Here is a 21,053-nt window from a genome sequence, read left to right on the forward strand (position 1 = left end):
GTTCCCACCTATGAGTGAGAACATGCGGTGTTTGGTTTTTTGTCCTTGCGATAGTTTACTGAGAATGATGATTTCCAATTTCATCCATGTCCCTACAAAGGACATGAACTCATCATTTTTTATGGCTGCATAGTATTCCATGGTGTATATATGCCACATTTTCTTAATCCAGTCTATCATTGTCGGACATTTGGGTTGGTTCTAAGTCTTTGCTATTGTGAATAGTGCCGCAATAAACATACACGTGCATGTGTCTTTATAGCAGCATGTTTTATAGTCCTTTGGGTATATACCCAGTAATGGGATGGCTGGGTCAAATGGTATTTCTAGTTCTAGATCCCTGAGGAATCGCCACACTGACTTCCACAATGGTTGAACTAGTTTACAGTCCCACCAACAGTGTAAAAGTGTTCCTATTTCTCCACATCCTCTCCAGCACCTGTTGTTTCCTGACTTTTTAATGATGGCCATTCTAACTGGTGTGAGATGGTATCTCATTGTGGTTTTGATTTGCATTTCTCTGATGGCCAGTGATGATGAGCATTTTTTCATGGGTCTTTTGGCTGCATAAATGTCTTCTTTTGAGAAGTGTCTGTTGATATCCTTTGCCCACTTTTTGATGGGGTTGTTTGTTTTTTTCTTGTAAATTTGTTTGAGTTCATTGTAGATTCTGGATATTAGCCCTTTGTCAGATGAGTAGGTTGCAAAAATTTTCTCCCATTTTGTAGGATGCCTGTTCACTCTGATGGTAGTTTCTTTTGGTGTGCAGAAGCTCTTTAGTTTAATGAGATCCCATTTGTCAATTTTGGCTTTTGTTGCCATTGCTTTTGGTGTTTTAGACATGAAGTCCTTGCCCATGCCTATGTCCTGAATGGTAATGCCTAGGTTTTCTTCTAGGGTTTTCATGGTTTTAGGTCTAACGTTTAAGTCTTTAATCCATCTTGAATTAATTTTTGTATAAGGTGTAAGGAAGGGATCCAGTTTCAGCTTTCTACATATGGCTAGCCAGTTTTCCCAGCACCATTTATTAAATAGGGAATCCTTTCCCCATTGCTTGTTTTTCTCAGGTTTGTCAAAGATCAGATAGTTGTAGATATGCGGCGTTATTTCTGAGGGCTCTGTTCTGTTCCATCGATCTATATCTCTGTTTTGGTACCAGTACCATGCTGTTTTGGTTACTGTAGCCTTGTAGTATAGTTTGAAGTGAGGTAGCATGATGCCTCCAGCTTTGTTCTTTTGGCTTAGGATTGACTTGGTGATGCAGGCTCTTTTTTGGTTCCATATGAACTTTAAAGTAGTTTTTTCCAATTCTGTGAAGAAAGTCATTGGTAGCTTGATGGGGATGGCATTGAATCTATAAATTACCTTGGGCAGTATGGCCATTTTCACGATATTGATTCTTCCTACCCATGAGCATGGAATGTTCTTCCATTTGTTTGTATCCTCTTTAATTTCCTTGAGCAGTGGTTTGTAGTTCTCCTTGAAGAGGTCCTTCATGTCCCTTGTAAGTTGGATTCCTAGGTATTTTATTCTCTTTGAAGCAATTGTGAATGGGAGTTCACTCATGATTTGGCTCTCTGTTTGTCTGTTATTTGTGTATAAGAATGCTTGTGATTTTTGTACATTGATTTTGTATCCTGAGACTTTGCTGAAGTTGCTTATCAGCTTGAGATTTTGGGCTGAGACAATGGGGTTTTCTAGATATACAATCATGTCATCTCAAAACAGGGACAATTTGACTTCCTCTTTTCCTAATTGAATACCCTTTATTTCATTCTCCTGCCTAATTGCCCTGGCCAGAACTTCCAACACTATGTTGAATAGGAGTGGTGAGAGAGGGCATCCCTGTCTTGTGCCAGTTTTCAAAGGTAATGCTTCCAGCTTTTGCCCATTCAGTATGATATTGGCTGTGGGTTTGTCATAGATAGCTCTTATTATTTTGAGATACGTCCCATCAATACCTAGTTTATTGAGAGTTTTTAGCATGAAGAGTTGTTGAATTTTGTCAAAGGCCTTTTCTGCATCTATTGAGATAATCATGTGGTTTTTGTCTTTGGCTCTGTTTATATGCTGGATTACATTTATTGATTTGCGTATATTGAACCAGCCTTGCATCCCAGGGATGAAGCCCACTTGATCATGGTGGATAAGCTTTTTGATGTGCTGCTGGATTCGTTTTGCCAGTATTTTATTGAGGATTTTTGCATCAATGTTCATCAAGGATATTGGTCTAAAATTCTCTTTTTTGGTTGTGTCTCTGCCCGGCTTTGGTATCAGGATGATGCTGGCCTCATAAAATGAGTTAGGGAGGATTCCCTCTTTTTCTATTTATTGGAATAGTTTCAGAAGGAATGGTACCAGTTCCTCCTTGTACCTCTGGTAGAATTCGGCTGTGAATCCATCTGTCCTGGACTCTTTTTGGTTGGTAAGCTATTGATTATTGCCACAATTTCAGAGCCTGTTATTGGTCTATTCAGATATTCAACTTCTTCCTGGTTTAGTCTTGGGAGGATGTATGTGTCGAGGAATTCATCCATTTCTTCCACATTTTCTAGTTTATTTGCGTAGAGGTGTTTGTAGTATTCTCTGATGGTAGTTTGTATTTCTGTGGGATCAGTGGTGATATCCCCTTTATCATTTTTTATTGCATCTATTTGATTCTTCTCTCTTTTCTTCTTTATTAGTCTTGCTAGCGGTCTATCAATTTTTTTGATCCTTTCAAAGAACCAGCTCCTGGATTCATTAATTTTTTGAAGGGTTTTTTGTGTCTCTGTTTCCTTCAGTTCTGCTCTGATTTTAGTTATTTCTTGCCTTCTGCTAGCTTTTGAATGTGTTTGCTCTTGCTTTTCTAGTTCTTTTAATTGCGATGTTCGGGTGTCAATTTTGGATCTTTCCTGTTTTCTCTTGTGGGCATTTAGTGCTATAAATTTCCCTCTGCGCAGTGCTTTGAATGTGTCCCAGAGATTGTGGTATGTTGTATCTTTGTTCTCCTTGGTTTCAAAGAACATCTTTATTTCTGCCTTCATTTCGTTATGTACTCAGTAGTCATTCAGGAGCAGGTTGTTCAGTTTCCATGTAGTTGAGCGGTTTTGAGTGAGTTTCTTAATCCTGAGTTCTAATTTGATTGCACTGTGGTCTGAGAGACAGTTGGTTATAATTTCTGTTCTTTTACATTTGCTGAGGAGAGCTTTACTTCCACGTATGTGGTCAATTTTGGAATAGGTGTGGTGTGGTGCTGAAAAAAATATATATTCTGTTGATTTGGGGTGGAGGGTTCTGTAGATGTCTGTTAGGTCCGCTTGGTGCAGAGCTGAGTTCAATTGCTAGGTATCCTTGTTAACTTTCTGACTCGCTGATCTGTCTAATGTTGACAGTGGGGTGTTAAAGTCTCCCATTATTATTGTGTGGGAGTCTAAGTCTCTTTGTAGGTCACTCAGGACTTGCTTTATGAATCTGGGTGCTCCTGTATTGGGTGCATATGTATTTAGGATAGTTAGCTCTTCTTGTTGAATTGATCCCTTTACCATTACGTAATGGCCTTCTTTGTCTCTTTTGATTTTTGTTGGTTTAAAGTCTGTTTTATCAGAGACTAGGATTGCAACCCCTGCCTTTTTTTGTTTTCCATTTGCTTGGTAGATCTTCCTCCATCCTTTTATTTTGAGCCTGTGTGTGTCTGTGCACTTGAGATGGGTTTCCTGAGTACAGCACACTGATGGGTCTTGACTCTTTATCCAATTTGCCAGTCTGTGTCTTTTAATTGGAGCATTTAGTCCATTTACATTTTAAGTTAATATTGTTATGTGTGAATTTGATCCTGTCATTATGATGTTAGCTGGTTATTTTGCTCGTTAGTTGTTGCAATTTCTTCCTAGCCTCAATGGTCTTTACAATTTGGCATGATTTTGCAGCGGCTGGTACCGGTTGTGCCTTTCCATGTTTAGTGCTTCCTTCAGGAACTCTTTTAGGGCAGGCCTGGTGGTGACAAAATCTCTCGGCATTTGCTTGTCTGTAAAGTATTTTATTTCTCCTTCACTTATGAAGGTTAGTTTGGCTGGATATGAAATTCTGGGTTGAAAATTCTTTTCTTTAAGAATGTTGAATATTGGCCCCCACTGTCTTCTGGCTTGTAGAGTTTCTGCCAAGAGATCCGCTGTTAGTCCAATGGGCTTCCCTTTGTGGGTAACCCGACCTTTCTCTCTGGCTGCCCTTAACATTTTTTCCTTCATTTCAACTTTGGTGAATCTGACAATTATGTGTCTTGGAGTTGCTCTTCTCGAGGAGTATCTTTGTGGCATTCTCTGTATTTCCTGAATCTGAATGTTGGCCTGCCTTGCTAGATTGGGGAAGTTCTCCTGGATAATATCCTGCAGAGTGTTTTCCAACTTGGTTGCATTCTCCCTGTCACTTTCAGGTACACCAGTCAGACGTAGATTTGGTGTTTTCACATAGTCCCATATTTCTTGGAGGCTTTGTTCGTTTCTTTGTGTTCTTTTTTCTCTAAACTTCCCTTCTTGCTTCATTTCATTCATTTGATCTTCCATCACTGATACCCTTTTTTCCAGTTGATTGTGTCGGCTCCTGAGGCTTCTGCATTCTTCACGTAGTTCTCGAGCCTTGGCTTTCAGCTCCATCAGCTCCTTTAAGCACTTCTCTGTATTGGTTATGCTAGTTATACATTCGTCTAAATTTTTTTCAAAGTTTTCAACTTCTTTGCCTTTGGTTTGAATTTCCTCCTGTAGCTCAGAGTAGTTTGATTGTCTGAAGGCTTCTTCTCTCAACTCGTCAAAGTCATTCTCCGTCCAACGTTGTTCCATTGCTGGTGAGGAGCTGCGTTCCTTTGGAGGAGGAGCGGCACTCTGCTTTTTAGAGTTTCCAGTTTTTCTGTTCTGTTTTTTCCCCATCTTTGTGGTTTTATCTACTTTTGGTCTTTGATGATGGTGATGAACAGATGGGTTTTTGGTGTGGATGTCCTTTCTGTTTGTTAGTTTTCCTTCTAACAGACAGGACGCTCAGCTGCAGGTCTGTTGGAGTTTGCTAGAGGTCCACTCCAGACCCTGTTTGCCTGGGTACCAGCAGCCGTGGCTGCAGAAGAGCGGATTTTTGTGAACCATGAATGCTGATGTCTGATCGTTCCTCTGGAAGTTTTGTCTCAGAGGAGTACCTGGCCGTGTGAGGTGTCGGTCTGCCCCTACTGGGGGATGTTTCCCAGTTAGGCTGCTCGGGGGTCAGGGGTCAGGGACCCACTTAAGGAGGCAGTCTGCCCGTTCTCAGATCTCCAGCTGTGTGCTGGGAGAACCACTACTGTCTTCAAAACTGTCAGACAGGGATATTTAAGTCTGCACAGGTTACTGCTGTCTTTTTGTTTGTCTGTGCCATTCCCCCAGAGGTGGAGCCTACAGAGGCAGGCAGGCCTCCTTGAGCTGTGGTGGGCTCCACCCAGTTCGAGCTTCCCAGCTGCTTTGTTTACCTAAGCAAGCCTGGGCAATGGCAGGCACCCCTCCCCCAGCCTCGCTGCCACCTTGCAGTTTGATCACAGACTGCTGTGCTAGCAGTCAGTCAGACTCCGTGGGCGTAGGACCCTCCGAGCCAGGTGTGGGATATAATCTCCTGGTGCGCCGTTTTTTAAGCCTGTCGGAAAAGCGCAGTATTAGGGTGGGAGTGACCCGATTTTCCAGGTGCCGTCTGTCACCCCTTTCTTTGACTAGGAAAGGGAACTCCCTGATCCCTTGTGCTTCCCAAGTGAGGCAATGCCTCGCCCTGCTTCGGCTTGCGTATGTTGCCCTGCACCCACTGTACTGCACCCACTCTCTGGCACTCCCTAGTGAGATAAACCCGGTACCTCAGATGGAAATGCAGAAATCACCCGTCTTCTGCGTCGCTCACACTGGGGGCTTTAGACTGGAGCTGTTCCTATTCAGCCATCTTGGCTGCCAGCTTGATAGCCTTTTTAAAAAAAAAAAAAAAAAGAAAATAGCTGAATAGCATTCCATCGTGAGTGTGTACTATATTTTGTTTATCCATTCATGTGTTGATGGGAACTTATATTGCTTGCAAATCTTGGCTGTTGTGAATAATGCTGCAATAAATGTGAGAGTGCTTGATATCTCTTTGATATACTGATTTGCTTTCTTTTGGGAGTACACCTAGCAGTGAGATTGCTGTTTCATATTGTAGTTCTATTTTTAGTTCTTTGAGAAACCTCTAAACTGTTCTCCATAGTGGTTGTACTAATTTACATTGCCACCAACAGTGTACAAGGGTTCCTTTTCTTCACATCTTCTCACAGCATTTGTTATTGCTTGTCTTTTGGATAAAAGCCATTTTAACTAGGGTGAGATGATATCTCATTGTATTTTTGATTTGCATTTCTCTGATGATCAGTGATGTTGAGCACCTTCTTATATACCTGCTTGCCATTTGTATGTCTTCTTTTGAAGAAGTAGTGTAATTGTAGTGTAATTTGAAGTCAGGTAATATGATTCTTCCAATTTTGTTCTTCTTGCTTATGATAGCTTTGGCTATTTTTGGTCATTTGTGGTTCCATATAAATTATATGATTTTTTTTTCTATTTCTATGAAGACTGTCATTGACATTTTGATCAGATTGTACTGAATCTGTAGATTGCTTTGGGTAGTGTGGACATTTTGACAATACTGATTCTTATAATCTATGAACATGGAAATCTTTTTATTTTTTGGTGTCCTCTTTAATTTCTTGCATCAGTGTTTTATAGTTTTCATTGTAGAGATCTTCCATTTCTTTCGTTAATTCCTAGGTATTTAATTGTATTTGTAGCTATTGTAAATGGGATTACTTTCTTGATTTATTTTTCAGAATGTTCATTGTTGGGATATAGAAATGCTACTGATTTTAGTATGTTGATTTGGATCCTGCAACTTTACTGAATTTGTTTATTCTAATAGTTTTTGGTAGAGTCTTTAGGTTTTTCCATGTCTATCATCTGCAAAGAAGGATAATTTAACTTCTTTGTTTCCAATTTGAATTTCATTTCTGTCTCTTGTCTGATTGCTCTAGCTAGGACTTCCAGTACTACGTTGAATAACAGTCATGAAAGTGGGCATCCCTGTTGTGTTCCAGATCTTAGAAGAAAGGCTTTCAGTTTTTTCTCATTCACTATGATACTATCTGTGGGTCTGTTGTGTGTGACTGCTATTATGTGGAAGTATATTCCTTTGATACCCAGGTTTTTGAGGGTTTTTATCATGAAAAGATGTTGAATTTTGTTAAGTGCTTTTCCAGCATCAATTGAAATGAGCATATGTTTTTTGTTTTTCATAGTTTATATGATGTATCACATTGATTGATTTATCTTTTCAAAAAAACCAACTTTTTGTCTTGTTGATCTTTTGTATTTTTTGTGTGTATTTCATTTATTTCTACATTGATGTTATTTTCTTCTGCTAATTTTGGGCTTGCTTTGCTCTTTTCTAGTTCTCTAAGATGCATTGTTAGGTTGTTTAAAGGTTTTCTGTTTTTTTGATGTGCTTATTGTTATAACTTTTCTCTTAGTACTGCTTTCACTTAGTACTGATTTGCTTATGTTGAAACATCCTTGTATCCCTGGGATAAATCCCAGTTTTTCATGATGAATTATCTTTTTACTGTGCTGTGGAATTTGGTTTGCTAGTATTTTGTTGAGGATTTTTGTATCAGTGTTCATCAGATATATTGACCTGTAGTTTTCTTTTATTGCTATGTGTTTGGTTTTGATATCAGGGTACTATTGTCCTCATAGAATGAGTTTGGAAGTATTCTTTTCTCCTTTATTTTTAGAATAGTTTGAGTAGGATTGGTATTAGTTCTTATAGTAAAATTCTGCAGTGAAACTATCAGGTTCTGGACTTTTCTTTGCTGGGAGGCTTTTTATTACAGCTTCAATCTCATCCTTTGTCTTTGATCTATTCAGGTTTTGGAATTCTTCATGGTTCAATTTTGGTAGATTGTATGTGTCTAGGAATGTATTCATTTCTTGAAGGTATTCCAATTTATTGGCATATAGTTGATCATTATAGTCTCTTAGGAGCATTTGCATTTCTGCTGTAATTCAGTTGAATTACATGAATCGCACTGTCTCCTTTTTCATCTCTGATGTATTTGTGCATTTTGTTTAGTTATTCTGGCTAAAGTTTTGTCGATCTATTTATCTTTTCAAAAAACCAACTTTTCATTTTTTTGATCTTTTGTATTTTTGTATGTATTTTATTCTATTTTGATATTATTTTCTTCTGCTAATTTTGGGCTTGGTTTGCTCTTGCTTTTCTAGTTCTTTAAGATGCATTGTTATGTTGTTTGCTTAAAGTTTTTCTGCTTTTTGATGTAGGTGCTTATTATAAACTTTTCTCTTAGTATTGCTTTCACTGTATTTCATAGATTTTGGTTTGTTGTGTTTCCATTTTCATTTGTTTCAAGAAATTTTTAAATTTTCTTCTTAATTTTTTCATTGGTCACTCAGGAGTGTATTGTTTAATGTCTATGTGTAGTTTCCAAAGTTTCCTTTGTTATTGACTTCTAATTTTTTTCCGTTCTGGTCAGAGAAGAGACTTGATATGATTTCAAGTTTTTGAATTTTTTAAGACTTGTTTTGTGGCCAAATATATGGTCTTAGGTTCTTTTTAAAAAAATATTGCTTAAAAATACATAAGAACCTAGCCTAAATAAATCAAATTATATACAGAATTTAGAGGTTAAAAGTTGTATTTCAGAGTTAGGAGATGTGCCTTAAATAATTAGATTTTATTGTAAAGGGATTACTTGCAGCAATGCAGAGAGTGAATTTGGGATTTGGAGGGAGTATATCACAGGTAATAGGGGATGCTCTTGCAGTTATCCAGCAGAGAAATGGTGAGGACTTGACCAAAACTTATGGCAATGATACGGTGGAGAGTAGGTTTATCTGAGATATGAGGATTGCTGCTTGGATGAGGAAGATGAAAAACGCTGGAAGGTAAGCAAATTATAAAATAGGAAAAATGTGTGAAAATTGAATACAAGCTTTGCAAATACTGAGGCTGAGGTTCTTTTATGACATTCAGCTAGAGAAATAATGGGTAACAGTTGGGTATTCAGAGCTCAGGTGATAAATCTGGGTCAGGGATAGAAATTTAGGAGTTATCAGCATGTAGATATTAGTTTAAACCATGCAGGTTGATAGTGTTCTGTAGTGAGAATATGGAGAGTAAGAAAAAGTGTTCCAAGTATGGACTGGAGAATCTTGATGTTTGAAGCATAGGCAGTAGGAAAGGAGTCAGTAAAGCAGAGGCCAGAGTAGTGGCAAGAGGCATTATAAATACCTTGTTAAATTTAGGTGCTACTGTTAGCTGTCACACTAGCTGTCTGACTTTAGACGAATTACATAACTTTGCTACACCTCATTTTCTTCATTATGAAAAGTGTAAATTAACATGTGGGCCTCATAGGTAGGGCTTTGAGGATTGAATACGACACATTGTCTTTCAAATGTTTTTGATGTGACAACCCAAAATAAGAACGATATTTTATATATTATGATTATGTTACCATATATACATGTATATATATGTATATAAATTTCCCAGAAAAATACTGAACCTTCCTACATGTGATATATTTGGATATTTCCTATTCTAATTTATGTAATTAAAAAGCTGCTGTGACTCACTGATGGCTAACAGCCAGTAGTGAGAAAAAACACTGAACTAAAACGCGTGAGCACCTAGAACAGTGACTGATCACTTAGCAAACGCAGAGTTAAGAGTAGTGATTGTTTTTAAACCAAGAGAGAAAGTTGACTAAATACACAATTTCAGTAAGGACAGCATTATCTTTATTGTTATTGCTCTAGATGTATCCAGTAAGTGAGAGGTAAAAAGTCTTCATCTGCAATCTGATGGTCAGTGGTAAGCTGCTAGAGAAATTTCTGTAGGTGGGTTGGGGTAGTGGATTAAGAAATAAATGTGAAATAAGGAAGTAAGAGTGAGTTTAGTAAACTCAAGAAGCTTGAGAGAAAAAGATAGGGCCATTTGCTAGAGGATTAAGGGTTTTTCTTTTCTTTCTTGTCCCCTTCCTACCCTCCTTCTCTCTCTTTCTTAGACTGGAGAGACTAGACTCTGGGAAAGTTTAAGTGAATAAGAGAAGATTGAAGAAGCAGACGAGATTGATAAATTGGGGAATGGGAAAGAGAATAGAGTCTAAACTCTGGTCCATAATGTCAACATTTAGGGGTAGATTATTAAAATTGTCTGGGAAAAATTATTATAAATGATTAGGAAGAAATAAAATGGTTTGGAAGCCTTGCACATGTGTTTTAAGTGAAAGAGGACTGAAAAAAAGTAGAAAATAGAAAAATCTAATGCTCGTGGCTTTCTAAATACATGGTCTTTCTTAAAAGATAATTTAATTTCTTATAAAAATAGACATGGAGCCGGGCACAGTGGCTCATGCCTGTAATCCCAGCACTTTGGGAGGCTGAGGCAGGTAGATCACCTGAGGTCAGGAGTTTGAGACCAGCCTGACCAACATGGAGAAACCCCGTCACTACTAAAAATACAAAATTAGCCAGGCATGGGGCACATGCCTGTAATCCCAGCTACTTGGGTGGCTGAGGCAGGAGAATCGCCTGGACCTGGGAGGTGGAGGCTGTGGTGAGCCAAGATCACACCATTGCACTCCAGCCTGGGCAACAAGAGCAGAACTAAATCTCAAAAAAAAAAAAAAATTAAAATATATATGTGTGTGTGTGTGTGTGTGTGTGTGTGTGTGTATTATATATAGACAAGGACAAACATGAAGCCATTATTCCTCAGAAGATATATACAGATGAAATGAGGCACTTCTATTATTGGCAGCCAAACCTGTGAGTTTACCAAAAATGCAAAATTTGTTCAATGAGAAGAAGTATTGAGATTGTTAGGAGTGTTACTTTCCTCAAAACAAATGGAAAACATGAGAAAACATAGGTTCATAAATGCTGTGAATCATTTCCTGTGAGAATACAAAGCTTATTACACCAAGTCACATGACTGTGATCTGACTTTCTTTATTGGTAGAAAAAAATTAGCCTGCTCATTTGTTGAGTGTACTCTAAGAATGAGAAACTTGTGGCAAATCTGTTGTCATTTTTTTACCTGTCAGTCTTTGAGGTAGTTGTGCCCAGATAGTTACTCTAACATTTTATAATGAATATAAATTGTTTTAGTAGAAGGCAAAGAGAAATATTGTATGGAGAAACAGCATGAACCTAAAATGCGACCCCTAAGGTAAGGACTTAATGGGACACAATCATGTCAAAAATGGCCAGTTGCCTTTCAGACACTTGCAATAAAAATGACATTCTTAGGTGGTTTTAAAAATGTGAATATTTTGTTTGTGATTTTTCACTGATGTCAAAGTTCAAAAGTGGATGACATTCACATGTTTTTAAATCAGTGGAAAACTCACACCACTAATATGTTATTCATTGCTGATGGTCTTATTCTAGTTCTACAGTAGTTCCCAGAGGTTCCACTGGATACAGTAGCCTCTTTGTCAATCAAGATTGTTGTTTGAACTTAAAGGATGAGCCATATATATATATATATATATATATATATATATATATATATATATATATATATATATATATATATATCCTGGTGTACACTTCTAACCTGATGGAATTTTAACCTGTTAGCATTGTTAAGGTACATCAAATTGGCACTGTGTAATCTTATTTCTAAGTTACAATTTACCTAGAATTTAATAGTAACAATCGTTGTCTCATGAAAAAGTAAATTTGTTTCATGTTTTACAAATTCTTTTTATATTATTGACAAAAAATTGATAATTCTTATAAATTCAGTTTACTCTTTAGAAGTTATGAGAAATGAAAATAAATTATTCTTGTTTTGAAAATGACAGTCCACAGATTTTAAAAAAACATTTTTTCAATAAAGCATTTCTGTTTTGAGCAAGAAGGGTGTCTTATATATAACAATCTGTTACCTTTGCAGAAGTCTCAGCACATCAAACATTCATAGGTAAAAGAAATAATTATGATAAATTTCTAATATCAGTGGTGAGTTTTTAAAATAATTTGAGTATTTTTTTCATTGACAATGTCAGTAATAGTTTATTAGTATTGGTGATTACTAGAGGGAGTTTTAGGTAAAACAGTACCCAGTAAATGTTTGAATGAATGATACTCAGTTAAAAAAATTTAAGGATTAGAAGTAAAATTTTTAGCCTTTCAGAGTTTTCATTGACTTAATTAAAAAACATACATGTGTTTTAGGAGATTCCATGGTAGAATAGAAATTGTACAGTCTTCAATGCCATATATAACAGACCCCTCTTTAGGTTTTGGCTCTACCACTTACAAACTCTGTGGCCTTCAATAAGATACTTGGCTTCTTTCATTTTAAATTTGTCATGGATAAAATGATCTCTGTGGCTATGAAAAGTTAGAACACATAATCCTACAAGAACATAATATTTTTAAACATTATTTATGTTTCCAAGCCCATCTTTAAAAGTTATTCAACCTATAAATGAATCTATAAAATATAGTTGAAGTGCAGTGCCAATGCTACTATAGAAACAAATAATATTTATGATAATATTTCTTTGGGAAAATACATTGATGTCCAGCATGTTAGCACTAAAGCAAAAGGACTGGGAATTATCCAGATGTGAGCTACTCCACAATCCCATATTTGGAGCTAGAGTTCAGTGTGTGGGTGGATGGCGAGTGATGGGACAGAAGGACAGAACTGGAGATCTTAGGGAGAGAATGGTTAAAAACAAAATAAGGGCCTGGTGTGGCAGCTCATTCCTGTAATTCCAGCATTTTAAGAGCCAAGGCAGGAGGATTGTTTGAGCCCAGGGGTTCGATACCAGCTTGGACAACATAGGGAGACCCCATCCCTACAAAATATAAAATAACAAAACTAAATAGGTTAATACTACAAATTGAGGAGCCAAAGGATTGGGATAATGATTTAAAGTGGGGCTTTTCCTTTCCTTCCTCTTTTTTTCCCTTTCTTCTCCATTTCTCCCCCACTCTGACACCATTCTGACTAGAGGAATTTGGGACAGCACAGTAAATGGGACTGGACAAAAAGGGATCTTGGAGTATAGAGTGGAGATTGGCACTTCAGAGCAGGTAGGGGTCGGAAGAAGAGGGCAGGGCAAAGAAACAAATGTGTTGGCCCTGAATTTGCAGAGGAGCAAAATTCTGCCATCCTTCTCTCTATTGCCAGCCTTACTCTGAACTAGTTGTTAGTGTATCCATTGAAAACTGGATTTAAAAAGCTAGAAAGATTAAAATGAGTGATGAATGAAGCCAAACAAGGTATCCAATTTTTCTTCATTATTTATATCTTTCTGGACATGTTTTATCATAACTAAATAAAGCCACAGGTGACTCTTAAAGTATCTGCAAGAGCTGGGCATGGTGGCACATGCCTACAGTCCCAGTTACACAGGAGGCTGAGAAAGGAAGATTGCTTGAGCCCAGGAATTCAGGGCTGTAGTGCGCTACGATTGTGCCTGTGAGTAGACACTGTACTCCAGCCTGGGCAACATAAGGAGAATCTTGTCTCTTGAAAGAAAAAAAAAAAAGTATCTACAAGCAATTTAAAAAATTATCATAGCCAAAGAGCTGCCATGCAGTTGGCCTTCTTTCTTTATAGTTGACTGTTTCTCTCCCTGCCTGTAAGAGAGGAAGTGAAGGTGAAGAGAAGGGAGGGTTAAGAGGAAATGGTTGCTAGAAGCAGTGAGGTAAGAGGAGGTCTTCAGTATTTATCTAGAGTAGCCTTTTATATTTAAAGGATATATATTCATTTTGTGTGTATCTTCAATGTAGCTATAAGACATTATTTTCCCAGAATTTGCTAGTATATCATCTGGTTGGTAAGTTACAAAACTGGGAATAACTTTTTAACTTTATAATGAAATACATTGATGTTTCAGGGATCTATTAAAAACATTGACCTCAAGACCTGCCTATTACCCTAAGGGGTAGATTACTCCCTGTCTCCATGTTAGGACAACCTTTTAATGGATGTCTTTTAAAATGAGGTTTTGAAGTTATAAACTTATTTGAATTTACTTTTAAACTAAATGTCGCTTTATGTTTAAATATTATTAGAGGATCCATTATATTAGCCAAAATAAGTGATTCCAACTATATAAACTTACATACCTTTATACCTCAGTTTTAATTACAACTAATTCCACCTCATTTAGGCTTGAGATATAAATATAATCTGATTTTGAAAATATGAGATTAAAGTTATTTGGAATAAGATATAATTTGCAAATTATAAATTCAGAAGTTGGAAGCGGTTCGCTATGAAAAGATGAAAAAATGCAGATACCTTAAAGAATTAACTTTTGGGTTTGTTTACTTAAATTATGTTGTAATATGTAGTATGATTCCTCAAAATATTTTTTAATTTGGGAATTTATGATGAATATAAAAAGATTCATTGAGAATGAGGAAGCTTCATATAGAGACATGATGCCCTGTGAATTAAAGTCAATAACTGGAGTTCTGTAGAGTATTTTAGAGGACAATGGCCTCAAATTAAGATTATATTAAAGTGATTTTTTGGGGGCAAAAACATGTCTTTTGCTCATTGTGGAAAAATGAGCAAATATGATTGAACAAAATAATAATAATTATCACCCATAATCTCTTCTTTCAAAGACAAGTAACTACCAGCTTTGTTTGTATACTTTTAGTCTGTTGGCTATGCCTCTATCTGTCTGTTGGTCCTGCTTGCCCTCACTCTTCCTCTTTTCCTCCCTCCTTTGCCCCTTTCTTTCCTCCTGCCTTCACTTCTTTCCTCTCTCCTTCCACACATTTGTGTGTGTGTATGTGTATGTGTATATGTGTATATATGTCTTTCAGCTTCTCAAATGAGATTATATTATGTAGGCTATATGATTATATGCCTTTGTATTTCCATATAAACCCTAGAAATGGATTCTTATACTAATCTTCAGTTCTTCACTAAGAAACTGGTGATAACTCTTAGCAATGTTGAGTGTGACTAAACATCCAAACATTATATCCTTTCGAGTTCTGGAATCCTCTTTTGCATGCTGTCTGCTTCTTGTTTAAGGAGCATTATTACTAATCACAGAAAGTTCTTAGATGAGACTTTACTGATACAGATGCTCAAATTTGAAGCAGTTAAATTTAACTGTTTGCTTTACTGCTTGTGAGGTGCTATAACTCATTGGGCTATGCTATAACTCACTGTGTCTTTCTCAAGCCTGATTCTTTCTTTCTGTTATTTTCTTTTGTTTAAGTTCTGTGTCGGAGGTAATCAAAAGACACTATAGTGTAGTTGAGAGGGAACTCTGGGGTTCAGCTGTGTTGGTTCAAATCCTTCTCCATCTTACTTGTTTTGTGACTTTGGGTAAGTTATGTAGCCTCTTTGTGCCTCACATTTCTCGTCTTCAGTGGGGATAATAATAGTACTTACCTCATGGGGTTATTGTATTGAATATCTACTGCATAGTAAGCACTCAATAAATGTTAGTTGTTTTTATTATTTAAATCTAAGCTGTAAACGTCATATTTATATGATTCTATTTATCAAAAATGTCCAGAATAGAAAAATCTGTAGAGATAAAAATTAGATTGGTGGCCTAGGGGAGTTGGGAGTGTAGGGAATGACTATTAATGGGTAAGGGTTTTTTTTAGGGTTGATGAAAATGTTCTAAAAGTAATTGTGGTGATGGCTGCACAAGTCTGAATATACCAGAAACCACTGACTGATACAGTTTAGATAGTGAATTGTATAATATTTCAATGGTATCTCAATAAAACTGTGAATGTATTTTTAAATATAAATCTGGCACATTCTTGATCAAAATTAAGTCACAGATTGCCAGATACAAACTGACCACAAGCACGTACTTCCTATACCATATGTACGTCTAAGTCCCTTTCTAAGAATACATTCCAATTTAGTATGAATAGAAATTACATTTATAGTCTTTAGAAATATAATCAGTTAATAACTTGATTATATTTTCTGCATATATTATATATATTTGATTATATATTGATATTGATTATATTTTACACAATAATTATTTTACTGTATTCTGTGTTTATTTTGGGGAAAAGCCTTTTTTTTTTTCAGTTGGAATCACTTTTAATATTTAAATACAAAAAATGAGCACTGGCTTCTCTTTTTTTAAACACACACACAAATCTAACAGCCAAAATGTGCAGAGGAAATGAGCTCCTGCTCTGTCTTCCCCAGTCCCCATCCTGTGGCTAAAGCTGCAGCCAGCCTCTTTCCTCTTATACATAGGGATTCATAGTGGCCACATTACACCACAGTTGTAATGCATTTTGTCTGTTTTACATTGTGTGCATGTCCCTCCCCAACAGCTCCATTCTTTAAGGAAAAAAAAGAAAGCAGTCATTAATGGTCAGGGGCACATCCCTCCCACTGGTGTCAGTTCCTACCCCACAGGAGAAAGTGAGATCTTCCAGTTAGGAGCAATTTTGTGAAAAGAGTGTGTGGCCAGAGCTGGAATAACCATTTGCATGGCTGCACTGTGGTATCAGAGTGAAGACTGAAGTAAGTCAGGATAGTGTGGAGGGCACAGTTGCAATTAAGTCTCTTCATGAGACAATGTGGGGAGATTTCTTCCCACCAGGTTTAGATGGATCAATGTGCCAAAGTTAAAAAAAAATCCAAATAATCAGCAGTTCAAACACAATTGAATTTCTGACTTCTCCCACGGAGACAGCTCATATACGGCAGTAACAATCTAGATCTTTCCAGGAAGTGAAGGAAGAGCCCCTTGCATTCTTCCTGAGAGCCCTGTGTTAGGCCCTAGAAGTATCTGCTGCTGCTGCAGTTGCTGCTGTTGCTCGGTTTGCATCTTCTCAGTCTCAAAGACAACGGGAAGAACCAGGATCATAAAGGAAGTGGTCCCAATCCACACGGCTGCCCTGGGAAACCTGTACATTTTGTGAGCCACAAAGAGGGAGAGAAAGAAGAGGTTCTGGCCGCAGACCGGACCCTCTTCGGAAACATCTCCATCAGGCCCCATAGTCTCTCCGACCAGGTCTCATCTAGCTTCTCCTCGTCGTCCTCCTCCAACTCCTCCTTAGTCTTCTCCACGTCGCCTTTTGGGAGCAATTCCTCCGGGGATAGGGGTTCCCCTGCGACAGCGGCCATGGCTGTAGGGGACACCAGAAGTGGAAAAAAAGGATAGGGAAAAGATATTTCCAAACCACTGTACTTGCCATGGATAATTTTTGAAATGAATGACAACACCCAGAAGGAAATTTTATGTGTGTGTGTATATGTGTATGTGTGTACGCGTGTAGAGCGGGAATACACACACACACTACATATATATATCATGTTACATTTTTTTCCTCTTCCATGGGTCTATTTCAGACATTTTTAAGAATTAGCATAGATAGCACAAATGGAAATTTTTTGGCCTTATTCCAGTCTACATCCTTAAAACTTCAAATAAAACATCCATATTTGGAGGCTTATTTTTCATGTTGTATAGTTTCAGTGAATGGGATCATTGGGAGAGAAAGTACACCATCGATATACAAGTTCATCTAAAATTCACAGCAAAACAGAATATTTTCCCACCATTATCAATTTTCAGCACATTTTGTTTCAGATGTGTGATTGAGTCACTGAGCCAGGAAAATGTTTACCTGCAAAGTGAGCTAATAGAAATGGGAGAAGCTTTTAAGTTCTAAAATTTCAGTCATCTCTGTCTAGCGTCTTCCCTAGAGGAAGGAAAAAGTGGGTCTCTTCCCTTTTTTATTTTCCCTTGTTAATCACAAAGCCTCTTTGTACTGGTAGGGCCTTGATGGTGGCTGAGTGCTGGCTGTTTATCATGTTCCTGTCATCCTCAAATGCAAAATGTAAAGAGGAGGAGAACACAGCTTTGGGTTTTCAAGCTTTGTGACAGCTTAGGACCTCTGAATCTCAGCTGCTCTCAAATGCTTTCTAAAGTGATTTGATCACTGAAATGGATTATGCAATTTTTATGGTTTTGAGCTCTTTGGGCATGTTCAGAACAAGAATAATATTAAAAATCAGACAGTGGAAAACAATTGAGCTTATCAGGTTAGATTTCTTTTATTATCACAAAAGCATCCAGTTCTATTATTGGAAACACAATTGTTAACTTCTGTTTCTTCCTTGAATGTTAAAAAATGTTTGTTGTATTTGATAATTCCAAATTCTAATATTGTGGATGAACCTTCCTTGCAGGGTGTCATTGTAAGATATTTTCAGGGATTCTTATGAAAGATAAGGCTTTCCTTATCTCACTTTTGAAAACCACCAGCAACTTCTACTGATATGAAACACGTAGAGACATTTATTATAGCAAGCCTAACTTGTTGAAATTACTTGAATGCTAAGAAGTCTATAATCATTAAAATTCCGGTCACTTTCCTGAATTTATTATCTATTTTTTTTTGGATTTGTATTACATCCCTTTTAATTTTCTGTTACATTATAATATTTAACAAAAACTGTGTGAGTAAATGCGAGTTAGACTGATGGAGCTTTTACCTTCTTAAAAGAAATAGGCCTAATAAAATAGGGCATTAATTTTTTATTGTTCTTTGGGAAAACAGAAATAGTACTGATAAGGATGAAAAAGAAAGGTTTTTTTTTTTAATCAAATGAGGTATTTCTCTTTATTGATTCCTAATGTGCAGTTGTTGTTAATAAACTGTTACAAATTTAAATGTCTGATGTAAGGGCTATAAAGCAGTTCCCAAACTTTAACATTGAATCTTTTAAAAATGCAGATTAAGATTCAGTAGGTCTGGGGTGGGATGTGAGCTTCAGTAGTTCCAACACTCTCCCAGGCGATGCTAGTTCTGGTCCTCGTGTCACACTCTGAATAGCAGAGCCATAAGTCACATCAGGAAATAACTTCTGTAATTGTCTTTAGAATCTGTAATTTTAAGAAATTCCAGAGAATTTAATTCCACTGCTTCTCTTGGCAACCTATTCTAGTACCTCACAACAAGTAGAGTCAAGACGTTTTTCTCAACATCTTGAATTTCTGTAATGGGAATTTTCTCAGTTAAAACAGAAAATAGCTATTCATATAATTACTTTAGAAGGTCAAAGATTATCAGGTCTCTTTCCCCTCCCTCTTCCTTTCTTCTCAGCGCCAACCTCCTTTAATATTTCCTTATGTATATTTTGCCAAAATACATATTCTGCCTTGATTTATTACCCAGTTTTAACTACAAATCTTCTATGTGGGTTAGAAATCATGAGTCTGTTAATTATTTAGTAGATGAATTGATAAAATAGAGACTTTTCTTATCCAAAATTTCTCGTTAATTAATGTGTGAAACAAAAAAATTAGAAGTCTCCGTTTCTTTTTAAAATTTTGTTAATTGTATAAATAATACAGTTTCATTTAAAAATTCAAACAATGCAAAAGTATAAATAATAAAAATGGAAAATTCTCACCCCTTTATATACCTCCCTCTTTGTACTTCTCTCTTTTTAGTTCAAACCATCTTAACAGTTTGCATATATCCTTCTAGAATTCTTTTTTTTTGAGACTCGCTTTCATTTACCCTGGAGTGCAGTGGCACAGTCATGACTCACTGCAGCCTCAAACGTCTGGCCTTAAGCAGTCCTCCCACCTCAGCCTCCTGGGTGGCTGGGACCACATGTGTGCACCACCACTCCTGTCTAATTTTTTAGTTTTGTTTTTTAGAGGCGGGATCCCCTTACGTTGCTCAGGGTGGTCTAGAACTCTTGGGTTCAAGGAATCGGCCTGCCTTGGCCTGCCAAAGTGTTGAGATTGTGGACATGAGCCATCAGGTTCAACACAGAATTATTTCTATACATACCTTTGTACCTATGTTTATATTTTTAAAAATGAGATCACAAATTATATATTGTTCTGTAGTGTTTTTCTATTTAATAATGCATCTTCGGATTCTATCCAAATGTCAGTACATATCCTCATTGTTTTTAGGGGCTGCAAAAAAAATCTATAAATAAGTATTTAAACCTTCTCAACAGACATTTACACTATTTGCAGGTTTTCGTTGTTGCAAACTGTACAACCATGAACATTGTTTTTAAAATATCTTTGTGCTCCTGTTCCAGTATTTCTAAATTTATGTTACTGTTTATATATTATTGATAGGTTAGATACTTAGCTACAAATGGATTCGCTGGTTCAAATGTACTAGACATATTTAATGTTAATAGATATTGCCAGATTGTCCTCCAAAAAAGGCAGTATCCATGTATTTTCGCTCCAAGAGTGCTTATTGATTCCTACATCCTAGTTTATGTTGGTAATTTTTATCTTTTTGTCAGTCAAATCATCTAAAATGTAGGTAATACCTCATTTTTGCTGTACTTTGAGGTGGAACACCTTTTCATTGGTTTATTAGCCATTTCGATTTCCTACCTCTACCTATTTTTTATTTTTAAATTTATTGCTCTGATTTGTAGGAGCTCTTTACATGCTATTAATGTTTGTTCCTTCCTGTTATATTGTTGTATCAATCAGCTACTGTAAACACAACCATAAAATCTGAGTGGCATATAACAGCAAGCCAATTATCTGGCCAGCTCTGTTTCATGCTGCAGGTCTGTGGGGGCAGTTGGGGAAGTTCAGCTCCCCATATCTTCATTTTGAGCCGTGAGCGGAGGGGACAAAAATCTATGCAAGGAAGGCTGTCTTCATAGCAGTAGCATGAGATTTGTTTCTATTAACATTGTCTACAAAATATTGGATACATGTATACATTAAGTACTTTATTTCAATTTAGCACATACATATCTGCTCATTTACCAAGGCGTTTTTTGTGAGTATGAGTTGCCTAGGTGGAGTTCTGAGTTGTTTTTGTTATAAGATATTGTCTTTTCAAAGCATTCAACTCAGTTTTCATGGAAAAAAAAAACCTTTCTTCCTTTTTGTTTTATGTAATATGTAAGCCAGTTACGTAATTACATTAAGAAGTACAACTGACATGAACACATTTGGGGACAAATACAGCTGAGTCTTGACAAGC

The 21,053-nt window shown here is 36.8% G+C and overlaps 1 protein-coding gene and 1 pseudogene across 5 annotated transcripts in view; one reads left to right on the forward strand and one right to left on the reverse strand.

Annotated features, from left to right (window-relative positions):
* Positions 1 to 21,053, forward strand: part of TMEM135 (transmembrane protein 135) — a 290,891-nt gene that overhangs the window by 204,138 nt on the left and 65,700 nt on the right. The gene's annotated exons all lie outside the window — the stretch shown is intronic.
* On the reverse strand, positions 16,763 to 17,255 carry LOC101929104 (mitochondrial import receptor subunit TOM22 homolog; annotated as a pseudogene).

This window comes from Homo sapiens, chromosome 11, assembly GCF_000001405.40.
Source record: "Homo sapiens chromosome 11, GRCh38.p14 Primary Assembly".
Taxonomy (NCBI): Eukaryota; Metazoa; Chordata; class Mammalia; order Primates; family Hominidae; genus Homo; species Homo sapiens.